The 18,641-nt window shown below is 35.7% G+C and overlaps 1 protein-coding gene across 14 annotated transcripts in view; it reads left to right on the forward strand.

Annotated features, from left to right (window-relative positions):
• Positions 1–18,641, forward strand: part of CDIN1 (CDAN1 interacting nuclease 1) — a 230,619-nt gene that overhangs the window by 124,274 nt on the left and 87,704 nt on the right. For 12 of the 14 annotated variants that reach the window (XM_047433174.1, NM_001321757.2, NM_001321759.2 and 9 more), the window contains 2 exons: positions 5,324–5,389; positions 5,957–6,062. In XM_047433174.1, coding sequence (XP_047289130.1) covers positions 5,324–5,389; positions 5,957–6,062 — 172 coding nt within the window. Of the gene's footprint in view, positions 1–5,323; positions 5,390–5,938; positions 6,063–18,641 lie in introns of all 14 variants that reach the window. The other 2 variants (NM_001321761.2, NM_001321760.2) reach the window with 2 other exon arrangements.

Genomic DNA, 18,641 nt, shown 5'->3' on the forward strand with positions numbered 1-18,641 from the left:
ATCTTGGAATTGGAAAGGGCTCTAGTGACTGTCCAATCCACTTGTTTTGATTAAATAAATTGTCCTTTGGCCTTGCATCACAGCTACTACCCTCCCTACAACCTGTCCTGTATCTTTTTATTCTACTATGTTGATTTGTCCCTTCATCTACAACGAAAAGGATTTAGCATGATCTGGTATAAAATATAGGAGAATTTTACTTTCTTTGCTCATATTCGTGTCCTCTGCCTTTCCACAGCTACCAGTTGCCTACCTAGCCTCTCCACACTGTCCCAGCTTCTTCACCTCCCCTTTTTTTTCTATAAGGCACTTCAATTTTCACTAGTATTATCCCCTAAAGACATAAGCAAAGGACAAGGTCAGAGCAGTCAGTTGTATTCCTTGTTAGTGGCTTTGATAAGAGGCTTTGGGGGAAGAGGTTGAAACTAACGGCTATAATGAAGTTTTGGGTTCTCTAAAGATTTCATTTATCGGTGCTATTGGTCTCCCCATTAAATGCATGCCTGTTCTGTGTACCTTTGCACACAGTTTGCATAACATATAATATTTATTACTGAAACCTTGCAAACTTCTTAAATTGTATAGAAAAGGCTGTGAAACTTACTCTTAGAGAACATAAAAATATAGAGAATGAAGGTCATAACTCCAAATATTGAGTGATACAGTGTTTTGAAAAAAAAAAAACCAGAATAAAACAAAATTAGTTACTAGAGTAGAAAAAATATAGTTTTAATATGTATTGATACATGTCTTTTTGCCCTCCCCCAATTTAGTAAAGATGCACTAGGTGTTAATAATATTCTTCTTATCATACAGTGTATTTTAATCTAGCATTTTAGAAAACTTTTTACAAGTTCATAGATAAAAGCCCTGTCAGAATGTGACTTTTCATTTTCAGATGTTGTGAACTGGATTTCTGCATGATTTTTATGGAAATGACTATACTTTTAAAATGTAAAACTTTTAATAAAACAAAACAAATTTAAAGCCCTCAAACCTTTTCTTGGTGGACCTCATGTCCCCCTGTGATTCTTAAGTATATGTTAACTAGTTTCAGATGTGTTTTGTTCGCTGACTCAAAATCAGCTCTTTATTTTAAGAAAAGAAATTGTGTAATTAGTACTTAATTGCTTTGGATATTTTGGGCATTTGGAGAAGAGGGTAATTCAAAGGCCAGAGAAATTAAACTTTCAGAATGTTCTTTATGCGTCTGTAATTTCTTTTTAAAAAATGCCCTCTAAAGACAGTCCTGACAACTTAAAAATGAATGAAGACCTGGGTTGTTTTTAAAAATTAACATCATCTTTGGATGTGGTTTTATTGATTTATTTAAGATAAATTGGAGAGAGGACCATTGAAGTGCTAGAAAACAAGATACTATCTAGTTCATCTCCTTTTCAGGCAGGTGTTGTCTAAATAGCTCACAGATGGCAGTCTTCTTCTCTTACATTTCAAGATCTTCCAAGATGAAAATAAATTTTTCCCCACTTTAAAAATATTACATTTGATCAAATTTAAATATTTGCATAATTAAGAATGGTATATGGTCTGCTGGGACCAACTGCAACTTGGTTGACATGGGCACATATCCTGTATCTGCAGTGATTTGAGAGGTCTAGGTCTTGTTTGGTCATTTAACTTCTCTAGGCCAGTTATATTGTGTATAAATTGGAATGTTGGACTAGTAATCTCTACAATTTTGCTAGTTCAGAAAAGTTTCTGAGGCAACCATTATCTAAAAATCTATGTTTTGTGAATCTGAAGGTTAACAGGTCTGCTTTTAAGTGATAATATTCCTATATTAATTTTGATAATGAGCACTTGAACTATGACATTAATGAACTTAATGGTTATAAAATATATTGGGTTTTTAAATATATACCTTAAACCAGAAGACCCTTACTTTGTATCTACTGTAGTTGCTGAATAAGACACATAGGAAGGATTTGAAGATTGGTTTCATATTGATTCCCAACCATTTGTGGAAGTCATACTAAAAGTACTATTTCAGATTATTGCCATTACCTTTTTTTCATTCTAACTAATATTATTTTTACTTTGTTCTTAATCTTTATCATTTTTTTCTTGAAGAAAACATCTTATATTACTGTTGAAGAAACAGTGAAACTTGAAGAAACAGTTTATGTTACTTAAACATCTAGTTTCCACTTAGAAAATTCAAAGAATCATAAGTAACTACTTGGCTCAAACATATGCAGTTTTATAAGAGCCTGTATGAAATGTGTGATTCTCAAGGAAAACATAAATTGTAAAACTGACTATAAAAGAGATATATATATCAACAGATCAGTAGCCAAAGAAAAAACAGTTGCCCACCCAACAATGGCACCAGGCACAGATTGGGTTTTGTGGAGGAATTCTACTAAAATGTTAAGGAGTGGATAGGTCCAGTGTTATTTAAAATACTTGAGGCCAGGCATGGTGGCTCATGCCTGTAATCCCACCACTTTGGGAGGCCGAGGCAGGCAGATTATTTGAGGTCAGGAGTTTAAGACCAGCTTGGCCAACATGGGGAAACCTTGTCTCTACTAAAAATACAAAAATTAGTCAGGCATAGTGGCATGCACCTGTAATCCCAGCTACTTGAAAGGCTGAGGCAGAAGAATCACTTGAACCCAAGAGACGAAGGTTGCAGTGAGACGAGATCGCGCCACTGCACTCCCACATGGGCGACAGAGCAAGACTTCATCTCAAAAAAAAAAACAAAAAAAAAGGTTGACTTCAAAGAAAAATTTTCCCATCAGTATTAAGGAAAGAGATGCTGTCTTTTTTACAAAATTGAGATGAACCTCAGATGAACATGTAGAACAGACAGTTGGGACCAAGGATGAAAGATAACAGTGAGAGTTCTCCAATAAAACCTTGAACTTTGAGCCTAGTTGGTGCCTTTGTGCCTTGTTGATAATTAGGGAATTAAATTAAGAAAGGAAATTATTGTCAGTCTGGATAGGCTTTGTAAAGACATGGATACTGTTAAACGTGTACTTGTATTTTACTCATTCATCTTTTGGGGGCATTAAGTGTCCTGGGGCCTAGAACAGTGAACAAGGCCACCTGTTTCGAAATGCTGCTTCCTACCCTGGTACCATCATTTCATCTGAACTTTGCCAAGTTGTTACCTCGTCCTTTCTTAGATCTAGGATGAAGGAAGCAAGCCAAAGGTTGAAACAGAGGAGATGGGACAGTCAGAGTTTAGTAAATAGATTAAAGGAAGAAGATACCCAATACACAGCATTTTACATGTTTGGCATAACATCTTTACTATAAAAACTAGAAGTCTAATATCACCAATGGTGACAAAGACTTCCAGATGCTATCCTTTGGCTACAATTATTACTGAATCAGCTTCATGTTGAGAGAGAAAGAGTGAGAGGGAGGGAGAAAGAGAGACAGGGGTGTGTGTATGTGAGAGAGAGAAAGAGAGAGAGCGAGCCAGTTGTAGTTTGTTGAAGTTCACCACAAAAAGATGGGAAGGATCCCCAGCCACACTTGATGTTTTGTGTTTAAGTTTTGAGGTTTGGGATTGTTAATTCTCATATTAAGTCACCCATGCAATTTAAATTGTAGATATTATGTTAGTAATTTTGGTGCAGTGAACAGGAGTGCAGCATCTGTCTTTTAAAGGGATTTTTATGTGCATTTGGATTGCTTGGTGACCTTTGAAATTTTGTTTTGCACTGTTATCAGAAACGTAATCATTTTTCTTTCTGAAGCAGATTTTAACATCTGAAAAGGTTGATGAAGCTAGGATAGTTTTAGTGAAATATTAATCTATCTTTTTCAATGTCACCATTGCTTTTAAAACTGTTCATCAGCTACCGGAAACATCAGCTTAAGGCACTGGAGTTGATTTTAATTAAATATTCTCATTGTGGTCAGAGTATAGTTACAGAACAGAAACTTGTCCAATCTTCTTCATCTACAGCTCACTTTCCAAATTCTCTTGTTTTTAAAGTCATATTATTTCAATCTGTATTTCTTTATCTCAATAGTTAACTTGAGATTTTTTATATTTCAAGGAGGGGAGATTGTTCTGAATACTGGCACCAATCCTTCAAAATCTAGACAGCTTAAGGATATTGACTTTTAACAAAATTTAACTTAAATGTCTACTTTAAATATGTGTCTTGTCATTAAAAGGTTATTTACATTTGAAATGCTGACCTTTCAAGTTGTGCACAAGAGTGTTCTAAAACAGAGTTTCTGAACATTGGCCATGAAACCACTGTCTTGGGCTGACAAATGGATTGGAAATAAGCTACCCAACACTGGGAATGGGCCATTAATTTTAATCAAAGGTGATGCAGGAAGGCGAATGGGATGCATGACAATGTCAACAGCCCAGTAGGTGTTAAGAGACCACACAGCCTTCCTTGTTACTTGGTCGGGCCATTAGTTGAGGTTGGGTGAAGACAGAAAGCCATGTCTGGAATTGAATGACCAGGTCACTCCAAAATCTAATGGAGAACTCCCCATTTCAGAAATCACATTGTACTGCCATTAGAAGTCAAGGACAGCATTTAGAAAATATTGGTGGATTTTTTTTTTTTTTTTTTTTTTTTAAACAATCACCTTTCTAGTTTTTCCCAACTTTGTCAAGCTTCCTGTTTTCCTGCCTTCTTTCCTTCCTAATAGATCATTGATATTTACAGGGGACTAAGAAATCAAACAGACTTAGGAAAAAAAATCTTAAAGCCTTAAAATTGCTTTTCAGAATTACATATTGTTATAAAACTCAGGTAAATGTCAGAAACAATAGCATACCAAAGGAATTAAGCAGGATAACTAATTCTTTATGGCGATCTCATTGTCCTTGTCTCTTTCTTGTGTGTGGGAATAGTTTCACTAATTGAAACTAAACTTTCGTAATTGCTTTATTGAAGGCATTTTTTCATAACTGTGAAGGCCACTGTGCTTGCCCCTTTACTATAAATTTTCAATACTGGCTGATAACATTTGTAATTTTCACAGTGGTGAAAGCCTTTATTTTAAATCAGTAAGTATATTACCTTATTTTGAGTACTTTCAATTACAAAAAAGGTAGTATATGACAGCTTGAACTCGTGATGTTTATAATAACGAAAACATGCAGAAAAATAATGAAAGAAGCATATCTGAAGCATATTTACGCTTCAGTGTTGTTCAGAAAGTTCATTATTTCTGACACAGCACTGCATGCATAAGAAAGATATGTATGACTACAGTAGTAATTTTTATACATATTTAAGAAATAAAAACAAATATATTCCTATCTTGTTAATTGAATAGTGTTTTAAGTAAATAGTGTTTGTTCTTCCTGTAGATGAAGATCAGCTTCGTGCAAAGGGTTATGACAAAACACCAGACTTCATTTTACAAGTACCAGTTGGTAAGTTCTTTAACTCTGTTATGCATTTGTTTTTAGAGAAAAGGGATGTATTTTTTAATTTTTTTATGTTAATATTAGCTTTATAATATTATAAATGGGTGGATAATTGGAAAATGTTACTTTTAAACAGCAGAAAATAATAGGTTCAGAAGAAATCTGTCTTAAAATCTTTTGCATATATTGAGAAATAAACATGTTTTCTAAAGATATTTTGGTTGTCATTTTCAACTTATTTCTCTAAATTTCAAATTCCTTAAACATAGATCTCTTGAAAAGCCAGACTCATTTTGGTCTGCTTGACATGGCACTTGTCGAGTTATACAGGCAGTCTGAGAACTAGGAAAGGGAGTTTTGAAGAATATAATGAAAATCAAAGGGATATGATTGTCACATAAATGTTCTTTGTAATGAACATATACAGTGTGTTGTTTTGTAATTACATTTATAGATGATGGTAAGGGCTAAGCCTGTGCTCATTAATGTGAAGCATAGAGAGGCCTGTACAGAGTTCAGAATTTTCAATCTTCCCCTCCCTTCTCCGTATATTAGTAATGCTTTGTCCCTTAGCTGTAGAAGGGCACATAATTCACTGGATTGAAAGCAAAGCCTCATTTGGTGATGAATGTAGCCACCACGCCTACCTGCATGACCAGTTCTGGAGCTACTGGAATAGGTAAGGTCTCATTATTTTTCTTTTAAGATAAACGATACTCAGCTGAAATCTCATTAGAAAAAAATATTTTGTTTAGCTGGTAAAAATGCTAGTAGCCGTTGTTTCTAGTAAATACAGAGTTTTGATTAATGTATTCATTTCAGATAATTTAAACTTCTCTGCTTTCATAATGTTGCTTCATTTTTTAAAACTAAAAATCTCTGCATAAGGTCAAAATTAGTATATATTCCATTTTTCATTCATTTTACAATAATATTGGTGTCACTTAAAATACAGATAATAAGATGTGGTGTATATTACAGTATTGACACTGAACTTTTATCCTTTTGATGTGAAATTTATGCTTACTCAGACCTTAAAATAATTTATCCTCAGCTCTCTGAGGAAAGTAGCCAAATGATATGAAAGATGGAAATAATACACCTTCCAAGAATAGAGAATAGTTTACCTACCAACTCATATTAACGTTCCCAAAGACATGGAAATCTCAGCGTTAAGAAAGGAGTGGGAGGGTCTTATTTTACTGTTTATCTACCACATGTCCGGGAAGTTACTTTTGTCCCCATTTTACAGATAACTAAGCTGATAGAGAAAATGATGTGCTGTAGAGCTAGTTATCATGGGGCTGCATTTATCTCTCACTCCCAAATCTGTGTGATTTCCAGCACAACCCTATTGTCATTTACAATACAACCTTCCAAACTTTGGCTTTTTCTATTATTGCAGTCCCGTGTTCACACTACATGTTTTTTCCCCCTTAGAACAGGAATGCCAGCCAACAGTAAGAATACAATAATAAAATGACATTGGCTCAGATCCTTAAGGAATGAGACAGTAGCATCTGTGGGTAATAGCCTTGTCCTAGGGTAAAAACAGTGACCAGCTACAGAATTTGGCATTATATTGTTACTCAGCTTTACAAAAGGCCAGTGGACCTCGCCTGTGGCAGCTGTGCTAAACTAAGCCCACTTTTTGCCATGGTAACAATGATCATGACAAAATGCTGAATGTAATAGCTTTCTTGATTTTCTTGTGTAATTGTGCGTGGCATCCGAGCTTTACTTTACAGGGATGGAGGAGGAAAGTGCAAAATGTTTTAGAAATCAATGCTGTTTCAGCGTTTCCTGTGTTTTATTCAGCCATTATTCAAATTAGCAGTAATGTGGCAAATTGAATTTTAGATTTTTAGCAATTTTATGATGAGTTTGAAATAGTAAAGAAAGCATCATTTTTGGAAGTATAGGGAAAGCAATGACAGGAAAATCAAATTGCATAAGTTTAGGTTGCTAAAGTATTTTAAAAAAAACTGATAAGCTCAATCAGTAGGGAGGCAGACTGTTTCCCCAGCTTTGGTACCAGTCATATCTTTTCTAAGGAAAAATTACAAACCAAATCCCAAATACTAGAGCTTACTTCAAAATTCCAAATTATTATCTTTCTTCTAAAACAACTCAATTATTTATTGAATACCTACTGTGTACTTAACATTCACCATTTAGAGGCTGATTAAATAATCTAGTCACCTAGATGATAGATTTAGGGATTATTGACATGCCTGGAGGATGTCTGTGTGATAGATAATTTAATACAATTTCCTTTGGATTTTATATCACTTTGTTGCATTCTACTTTTACCCTTCTGGTGATGTTTTACTTAGACTACTATTGATTTACATTCCCTGAGCACATTGTTTGAATATATACTGGCTAAGTGAGCATAATTCATTTAGGGCATGATGTGTGATACGGGAATGTTAGCCTTGGTTTTAAATGGTCCAGATCATTTAAGGAGTAAACGTCACAGAAGTCACTGATGTTACCAAAGGTCTGCAGAGAGGCCAAGAAATGCAAGTTCAAAAAGGAACATTTAGTGCCCAGGTTTGAAATGGAACTTTGGGGTATTTACTTATATATAAAATTTGTAACATATGATAATGATACAAGCTGACCGGTGATAGAGTATTTTGACAGAAGGAGAACTTACCCCATTTGTGAATGTATGGGATCCTCCTCTTCTCGCATTTTGCCTCAACACAACTCATGTATATTAGCAATTGCTAAAGTTCTTCAGCATATAACTTTAGCAGCTTCTAAAGTTCTTCAGAATTGGAAGAAATTCTCTCCCACCTGTAGGTAGCCTTTCAAGGAGGCTATTGGTTAGAAATTGGGCTTTTTGCTTTATTCATGTGATAAGCCTCTAGTTTATATAAAAACCAATATTACCTAATTGTCCCACTATTTTCAGATTAAAGATTGGATTTTACAATAAGACTGTTCAATTACTATTTATAGACTAATGCTTTTTTTTTTTTTTTTTTTTTTTGAGATGGAGTCTCACTCTGTCATCCAGGGTGGAGTGCAGTAGTGTGATATCGGCTCACTGAAACCTCCACCTCCCGGGTTCAAGTGATTCTCCTGCCTCAGCCTCCCAGGTAGCTGGGATTACAGGTGCCTCACACCACTCCCGGCTAATTTTTGTGTTTTTAGTAGACAGGGGGTTTTACCATGTTGGTCAGTCTGGTCTCGAACTCCTGACCTCATGATCCACCTTCCTTGGTCTCCCAAAGTGCTGGGATCACAGGCGTGAGCCACTGCACCTGGCCTAGACTAATGCTTTTGTATAAATCCATTTCCCACACAAATAACTACAGAGCCACCAATTTTTAGATTAACATTTCTATAAGAGTTTTCTTTTATAGTAAATTGATATTCTTACTCAGCTTAACTAACCTTGAAAACATTTAAATTTTACAATGTAGTCATCTTCCCCAAAATCAGTGCTACTGAGTAAAGAACATAAGCAGCCGTTCCTACAAGCACATCTCCATCCCAAGACCCAGTTATGAACCTTGGTTAAACAACTACTCAAAACTCTGTAGTCTCTACTTCTACAGAGTTAAAGGAGATAAAGAATGCCTCTGGGAAGCATTTGGACCATAAATATAACCCCAAATTATATAAGGCTACCAGAAAATACATTTCCTTATGAAATCAACACACAAAAAGTCTTCTAATCCTATTTCGCTAATCAAAAGGTGAGTTCTTTGACAATTTGGCATCTATTACTAAGTATACTTTTATACTGAGATGATGACTTATAAAGAAAGAAACCAATTCTACCAGTCTAAGGTCAGATTACATATATGGTCTCTAATGTGTGACCTTTCAAAGAGGCAGGGATAGACACATTGTCCTTACTTTTGGTGGTTTGAGATAAAGTGGGTCAGTTTGAATGAAAATATTGAGTGACCTTAAATGACAGAGAAAGAGCCATATGCTATAAAGCACATGAACAGTGACCAACAACCACTGATCAAGAACATGGAAATTGCAACTGCAAGTTTCAGCCCCTCCATCTGCCATTCCAGTCACATTCTGGCACGTTCTCATTAGAGACATCTCTTTAAAACCAAAGTGCACTTTGTTGATATACCTCTCTGCTTCTCTCAAAGAAAATCTAAGCTTCTTGGCTGGAACAAATGGGGCAAAATTTGTTTTTTCAATTTAGTGATCCTTGAAGTAATGGGAGGAATATTGGGTTTGAATCCAGAGTATGCCACTTTCTGGTCCCATGACTGGGAGCAACTTACTGTGTTTTCTCCTCAATAAAATGGACTGAGTAAAACCTTTTTTGCCCTATTACTCTGAAGATCAGTTATTTAATATATGCAAAGCACTTTCACAGTGCCTGGCAGTCAAAAAAATATTAGTTCCCCTCTGCCTGTTTTTCTGTATACCACTGATGAAGTTTAGAAGTCTTCCGACTAGACATTTTTAATTGCCTTCTTTGCCACATAAACTACTCAGCTAATTTCAGCACTCAGCTTGGCTGACATCTCTTTGAGAAACCTTCCTGCCTTCTAGGATTGGGTTTGATGCGCCTCCTGCGTTTTGCTAATAATTTCGTAACATCTATCAAACATGTCATCGCTTGTTTACTTGTCAACCTCCTCCAATTAATGTTGAGTTCCATCTTATCTACTGGTTTTATCCATCTTTGGTTGTCCAGAATCTGGCATATAGTAGGTGATAGTAGATATTTATTGATTGTATTTACTGATGTCTGACAGACAATAATGTTTTGAATCGGCCATTGAGGAATTTGTCAGGCATTGTGACATTAAGCCTTAGTACAATCAAATTTTTTTCTTTGAGAATTCAACTCGAAGTATAGTGAGGAAAATGCCTGATTTTTCTGAAAAACTTTTACGCACTTTTCAAATGTGTAGACTTTTGCAGTCCTATTTCATGAAATAGAGCATAAATGTATTTAACATAAAGATTTTTAAAAACAGAAAATAACTGAGAACTAAATGACAAATGCACTTTATAAAGGTTTTTAGATAAATATGTATAATCTTATGTTGGTCGGTTGCTTTCCCAAAACTTCAGACAGTTCTCTCATTTGAAATTTGACATAGAATACCGTGAAAATTCTAAGCAGAGGATAAACTCTAGTTTCTTTAAGGGTTGCATGAAACTGGGCCTGGAGCAAGAGTACAAATGGAGCCTTATATACTATGTGTCTAAATATGTAAAGTTACATATTAAGTTAACAGACCTTAAATAAAATATATTCTATTCTACATGAAGAGCTGAAAGTTTAGAATTGCATAAGAATTCCTAGATTCCTTGGATTTCCAGGCTCCGTGTGTCAGTGCAGGGAGAGGTGGTCCCACTGCACAGCCTGCCTTCCTTTTCTTCCCACCCTCAGCTCCATCCTACACCTGGAAAGGTGTCAAGCACATGCCCAGCCTGCATATCCAAGCTCCACGTACATTCCCATGAACCACTGCTCTCAGGCCAGAGTTGCACACTCTGGTTGTCTGCCCTCTTATCAGGTGAATGAACCTGAAAGGGCCCTCCAGGCCCTGGGAATGGTCTTGGGGCTATAAGATCAGGAAGTTCTGAGGTCACTGATACCTGGAATGTGGCCTAGAAACTGGTTGAGGGAACAGGTGTCAGATGGGGATGTTTCCTTGGCCCCATAAACTCCTTACTTCATGGATTCAGATATAACTAGACAGGGGCCAGAGCAGAGTTACCTAAAGCTTGGGTGCAGGACACGGACCTCTCTTGATTGGCTCTAAAGGACAGTATTAAATGAAGCAAGTGCATAGATCTTTGAAAGCCATTTCTTGTTCTGATGTTAGGATAGGAGGCGAGATGAGCACCAGAGGAAATATGGTCTTGATCACATTTATGTACCACGGAAACGATTAAGAGCTGAGTTCTATCTGTCAGATTTTTGAACCTTTGGCTCCAGAGAGTCTACTCTCCTGAAGGCAATGCTAAGCTAATACCTTCTGCCACAGAATTGATTTGACTTTAGTTCATACCTCTAAGTATTTTTTAAAGATCAGTTATTTACTCAATGGTCTGGCAGTTGCTTTCTCTGGTTTGTGATAGCTTGAGAGGAGAGGCATTTAGAATGGGAATGCCAACCAGTTAGAGTTAAGGAAGATATTTTTCAGAGCATGGCCAAAGTTTTTCCTGTATTAAGATACTTTCAGGAACCCTGCAATTAGCCAAATCACAGATTTCCAGTTATTTCGGTCTTGTTAAAAACAAGGCTGATCACATCTGTCTTAAGTTGGAGTATGTGCCTTAGCAATAGAAGCTCTTGCAAACCTTTAATTACAGCAGCCTCAGAAGCAGCACTGCTGCCGTATACTATCAAGTAGCAATAACAAGTGACAGATTGACTAATAATTAGCAAATGCTCTGAAGGGGGCTTCGATAAGGGTAAAATATGATTTGCTTTTTCTATCTCTTAAAATTGAGTTGATTGTGAGATATTGATGTCCCATTGTTCCAGACAGATACTTGACACTGTTGCTAGCTGGAGTAACCTCAAAATATTTTATCAGGATGAGGGAAGTGTTTTCTGTGTATAGAGTACTTTGAGAAAAATGACTTCTCATAATGGTTATAATGGATAAGTATCATTTTTTCAGCATGTTGAATGTGAATAACAAGACTTTTCTAAGTGAGGAATTCATATTTTCTGCCATCATTCATTGGTTTTAACAAAACTGAGCAAAGTATAGAAATGTTATCTTAGGCCTTTAGAGTGATATTCGTAATAAGGAGACAATTGTTGAGAAACTAGAATGACTTAAATCAAAGAAAACAGATCTATAAGGGAATGTCAATGAATTATAGTTTCTCTGGCTAGAAAGACATCTAAATGATTACTCTTTTCAAGCATATGTAAGATTTTTACAAGAGGGGTATATTGACCAGTTTCACAAATCCAGGGGACCAGACAATTGTTGAGAGAATGACTTCGTGTTGACACCCACTATGACAAAGTTAATCTGAGTCATGTATAGCTCAGAAATCTTACACCAAACCAAACCAACAAGCAAAGGATTGAGTGGCCGTTCTAGGAATGGAAACACACCATTATGATCATCCAGAGAGGGTAAGGGAAAAATAAATGAGAGTTTACCAATATCGGGAGTATAGTTATTGTCAAGAACCCAAGAATACAGAGTCTATTTCTGAGGCTAATTCTAGAATAATGGAGATCAGGTCAAAATTGATACTAAAAAGGCTTGGAGTCTAGCTTAATGGTTCTCAAAGTTTACTGTGTGTTAAAATCACATGCGGGTTGTTTTTAAAATATTGATGTTGGCTTTACCCTATTTTAATTGGTGTGCAGTGCAGCCTGGACTCTGGGATTTTTGTTGTTGTTGTTCTGTTTGAAAACTATGATGAGGTTAGTCTGTATCTAACATTGAAGTCAGACTCTTCTTTACCGAGCCTCAACTTGCTAGCTAGCCGTAGCATTCTTAGCTTATCTGCTTCCAAACAGAGTCTTCATGAAATAGTTGCTTTATGAAGAAATACAAGTCCAGGTCAGCAAACATTTACAGGCACTGTGTTAGGCAGTAGGGACTCAGCCCCTGCCTTTGAGGGGTTAACAGTGAGAACTGAGCAGTAAACTGCAGAGGCAGCACCTGAACCCAAGTCTCTTTGTGAACTCCACACCTATGCTCTTTCTACTCCACCGGCAGCTTCATGTCTGTCATGGTGGTAAATACGTTGGAAGAGGCTACTTTGTCAGTTAATGGGCTTGCTAAGCTAAAACTACAACCCTCTCCAGCATACAAGTTTTAGATATTCACCTTAATGTGGTTGGAGAAAATGGACCATTTGTTCTCTGTTCTTCGAGAGCCTATATTCTGTATTTTAAAAAACAACTTTATTGCGGTATAACTGACACAGAATAAACTCATATTTAAAGAGTACAATTTAATGTTTTATATAAACCTATAAAATTGTTACCATGATAGAGATAGTGAGCATACCTGCCACCCCTAGGTTTCCTGATGCCTCTTTATAATCCACTTTCCTAATCCCTTCAATTCTCCCTGCACCTCTGTAACCACTGATCTGCTTTCTGTGACTGTTGATTACTTTGCTTCTACTATTTTATGTAAATAGAACTATGCAGCATGTACTTCTTTTTGTCTAGCCTTTTTTACTCAGCATAATTATTTCAGGATAATATATGTTGAATGTACCAATAGTTCATCTTTTTATTGCTGAGAGGCATTAAGTAGCATGGCTGTTCCACTGTTTATTTATCCATTCACCTGTTGATGGACATTGGGCTTATTTTTAGTTCTGGCTATTACTAATAAAGCTGATCTGAACAGTTTTGTAAAATATTAACATGATTTCATTACTCTTGAGTAAAGATGTAATGTAATCATTTCATACCTGGGAATGAAATGATTGGAACATAGGGTGGGAATATTTTTACCTTTTTACAAAATGACTAAACTCTTTTCTGAAGTGGTTATACCATTTTATATTCCCACCAGCAGCTTATGATAGTTCCTTCTGCTTCCCATCTTCCTCATCACTTAGTATGGTCAGTCTTTTTAACTCAAGGCTTCCTAATAGTTGTGTAAAAATGTGTTAATGTGATTTTTAATTTGCATTTTTCTAATGATAAATTATATTGAGAATCTTTTCTTATGTTTATTTGCTGCCTGTTTTCTTGGAAAAGTTTCTCTTGAAATCTTTGCTTCATTAGTTAATTGAGTTGCTTTCTTATTGAGTTTTGGTAGTGCATTTTTATTTTATATTTTAGTATTCTGGATATAAGCTTCTTGCATGTAGAAATGGTTCTAGAACCCTTTTTTGAGAAGACTCTTTTTTCTCCACCTAAATTACCTTTGTACAATTGTCAAAAATCAGTTGTTCATATACGTGTGGGCCTGTTTCTGAGTTCTCTGTTTGTTCCATCATCGGTTTGTCTATACCAATTCAACACTGTTTTGATTACTGTAACATTATAATTTTGAAAACAGATAGTAGGTCCTCCAACTTTGTTATTCTTTTCAAAGTTACATTTTGCTGTTCAAGATCTTTTTTACCATATGAATTTTAGAGTCAGTTTATTAATTCCTATAAAAGCCTGCTGCGATTTAGATTGGGATTACATTGAATTTACAGATCAATTTGGGAAGAATTAACATCTTAATAATATTGAATCTTCTGATCCATGAACCTGACATCTCTCCATTTATTTAGGTCTTTTAACATTTTTCTCAGAAATTGTTCTGTAGTTTTCAGTGCACAAATTTCACATTTTTTGTATTGATTGAATGATGTAAGTACTTCATAGTTCTTAATAATATTAGTAATGATAGTTTTGTTTCCATTTGTTCATTGCTACTATAGAGGAATACAATTGATTTTGTATTTTGATTTTCTATACTGCAATAAAACCCATTTATTAATAGTTTACATCATTGGTGGAAGTGATAGGATTTTCTACATAGACAACTATGTTGTTTATAAAGACTATTTTACTTCACTTTCAATTTGTATGCTTTTTTTTTTTTTTTTTTTTTTTGCTTTTGCTTCATACAAAAGTGAATGGTAAGAATGGACATTGTTGCCTCACTGCTGATCTTAGAAGAAAGATTTTAGATCTTTTCACCATTAAGAATGATGTTAGGGGTGAGCACAAGTGACTTAAGCCTGTAATCCCAGCACTTTGGGAGACCAGTGCAGGAGAATCTCTTGAGGCCAGGGGCTCAAGACCAGCCTGGGCAACATAGTGAGACCCTGTTTCTATTAAAAAAAAAAATTAGCCAGGCATGGTGGCACACACTTGTAGTCCTAGCTACTCAGAAATCTGAGATGGGAGGATCACTTGAGCCCAGGAATTTGAGGCTGCAGTGAGCCATGATCATACCACACTGCACACTAGCCTGGGCAGTAGAGTGAGACTCTGTCTCTAAAATAAATAGAAAAGACTGATGTTAGCTATAGGTTTTTGTAGACGCCCTTTATCAGGTTGAAGAAACTCCCTTCTAGTCCTAGTTTGCTACAAGTTTTTATCAAAAATTGGTGTTGGATTTTTGTCAAATGCTGTTTCTGCATCTATTACGATGATCATATAAGTTTCTTAAATTAGTCAATATAGTGAATTAATACTGATTGATATTTTAATGTTATACCAACCTTGCTTTCCTGAGATAAACTGCATTTGATTATGAAGCAATACACTTTTTATATTTTGCTGGATTTGATTTGTTAAAATCTGTTACGAATTTTTGCATCTATGTTTATGAGTGATACAGGTTCATGTTTTATTTTTCCTTCTAAAGTATTTATCTGGTATTGGTATTAGAGTAATGCTGGCCTCTTAGTATGGGTTGGGAGGCATTTCCTCCTCTTTAATTTTTTTGAAAAGTTGGCACAGAATTGCTATTATTTCTTCCTTAAATTTTTGGTGAGATTCCCCAGTCAAAGCATCTGGGCCTGTGGTATTTTTTTGGTGAAAGATTTTTAACTATAAAATCGATTTCTTAGTAGTTATAAGACATTCAGGTTATGCCTTTTTTTTCTTGAATGAGCTTTGGCACTTTGAGTCTGTCAAAGTGTTTGTCCATTTAATCTAAGTTGCAGAATGTTTTGGCATAATCTTGTTGAAAATATTCCCTTATTATCTTTCAATGTCTGTAGATATGTCTCCTTTCTAATTCCTGATATTGATAATTGTGTCTTCTTTTCTAGATCAATCTGCCTAGAGGTTTATCCATTTTATTGTTCTTCTAAACGAACCATTTTTTTATTTGTTTTTTTATTAAATATTGATTTTCTTTTTTCTCTTTCATTGGTGTGTAATCATACATTATTTTCTTTTTGTGTATTAATTTCTGTTTAGTTTGCTCTTCTTTTTCTAATTTCCTAAGGTGGAAAACTGAAGTTGTTGATTTTAGTTCATTTTTTTCCAATATAAACATTTTATTTATTTATTATTTATTATTTATTTATTTATTTATTTATTATTATTTTTAAAATTATACTTTAAGTTCTAGGGTACATGTGCACAACGTGCAGGTTTGATACATAGGTATACATGTGCCATGTTGGTGTGCTGCACCCATCAACTCTTCATTTATATTAGGTATTTCTCCTAATGCTATCCCTCCTCCCTCCCCCGACCCTATGACAGGCCCCAGAGTGTGATATTCCCCACCCTGTGTCCAAGTGATCCCATTGTTCAGTTCCCACCTACGGGTGAGAATATGTAGTGTTTGGTTTTCTGTCCTCGTGATAGTTTGCTGAGAATGATGGTTGCCAGCTTCATCCATGTCCCTGGAAAGGAAATGAACTCATCCTTCTTTGTAGCTACATAGTATTCTATGGTGTATATGTGCCACATTTTCTTAATCCAGTCTATCACTGATGGACATTTGGGTTGGTTCCAAGTCTTTGCTATTGTGAATAGTGCCGCAATAAACATACGTGTGCATGTGTCCTTATAGTAGCATGATTTATAACCCTTTGGGTATATACCCAGTAATGGGATGGCTGGGTCAAATGGTATTTCCAGTTCTAGATCCTTGAGGGATCGCCATACTGTCTTCCACAATGGTTGAACTAATTTACACTTCCACCAACAGTGTAAAAGCATTCCTATTTCTGCACATCCTCTCCAGCATCTGTTGTTTCCTGACTTTTTAATGCTTGCCATTCTACGTGGCATGAGATGGTATCTCATTGTGGTTTTGATTTGCATTTCTATGATGACCAGTGATGATGAGCATTTTTTCATGTGTCTGTTGGCTGCATAAATGTCTTCTTTTGAGAAATGTCTGTTCATATCCTTTGCCCACTTTTTGATGAGGTTGTTTTTTTCTCGTAAATTTGTTTGAGTTCTTTGTAGATTCTGGGTATTAGCCCTTTGTCAGATGGGTAGATTGCAAAAATTTTCTCCCATTCTGTAGGCTGCCTGTTCACTCTGATGGTAGTTTGTTTTGCTGTGCAGAAGCTCTTTGGTTTAATTAGATCCCATTTGTCTATTCCAATGTAGACATTTTAATGCAATAAATTTACTTCTGAGCACTGTTGTGGCTGTATCTCACAAATATTTACATATTGCATTTTCATTTTTATTTGGTTCCACATACTTTCTACTTTTGATTTCTTCTTTGACCCACACTTATTTTGAAGTATGCTGTTTTGTTTTGAAATATTTGAGAAATTTTCAGATATCTTTCTGTTTGGTTTCTAATTTAATTGCATGGAGATCAGAGAACAAATCTGAATTCTTTTAAATGTATTGAGATTTATGTTATGGCTCAGACTGTGGTTATCTCTGTAAATTTTCTATGTACACTTGAAACTATTCCACTTTTGTTTTTGGAGTGGCTTATAAATGTCAATTAGGTCAAACTGGTTGTTTGTGTCATTCAAGTTTTCTGTGTCTTTACATATATGCACTTATCAGAACTCTTCTGAATACTTGAGGGAGACCTATTTAAGTTCCTGGAATTTCTCTCTCTCTCTCTCTCTGTCTGTCTGTCTGTCTCTGTGGGCAGCTTTCTCCTGCTGATATTGTGCCCTTTAAACTCTAGTTGCCTTGGCTTTCCCATTCTTCTAGCTACAATTCCTCAACTCAGGGAGACTGCTGGACTTCACCTGGGCTCGCCATTTGGACATCACAGCTGGGAAACTCTGTTAAGCTGGGCCAATCAAATGGCTCACTCTTTGTAATCCCATCACTCTGGGATTACTGTTCTTCATTGCTTGATGTCTAGTGTTTAAAAACTGTTATGTCATCTATTTTGTTTTTTAACTTTGAACAGAGAGCTAATCTAGTCTTTGTTACCCTAACTTGGTTCCAAGTAGGAGACTTTCAATTATGATTTTAACACATAGTTTAACAGATTTGTGTAAACCAGTTTGTCTTAAAATTAACCTTGTAATCTTAACCTTTGTATCTTTATTAAATCCATTTAACTTATAGACTTCATTGTCATCATGAAAGAGAGTACTGTGCAGTCCTTCAGGTTACTTTCTTTTGAGATCTCTCTCTCTCTCTCTCTCTCTCTCTCTCTCTCTCAGACATCCATATATTCTACCTCTCTTTCCCTCAGGCTTCTGAGAGTTGGAATGGGATTTTTCATTTACAACTTTATGCCCAGCAAAAGGGCAGTCTTTAATATGTTCAAGGCCAAGGATTATAATAAGCATACGGTTGTTAGAAAGCAGCTTTCTTTGGTTATCTACTGGTAGCACTCAGGGCTTCTTATGCCTCTTGGAT

The sequence above is a fragment of the Homo sapiens genome, chromosome 15, assembly GCF_000001405.40.
Source record: "Homo sapiens chromosome 15, GRCh38.p14 Primary Assembly".
In the NCBI taxonomy this organism is placed as follows: Eukaryota; Metazoa; Chordata; class Mammalia; order Primates; family Hominidae; genus Homo; species Homo sapiens.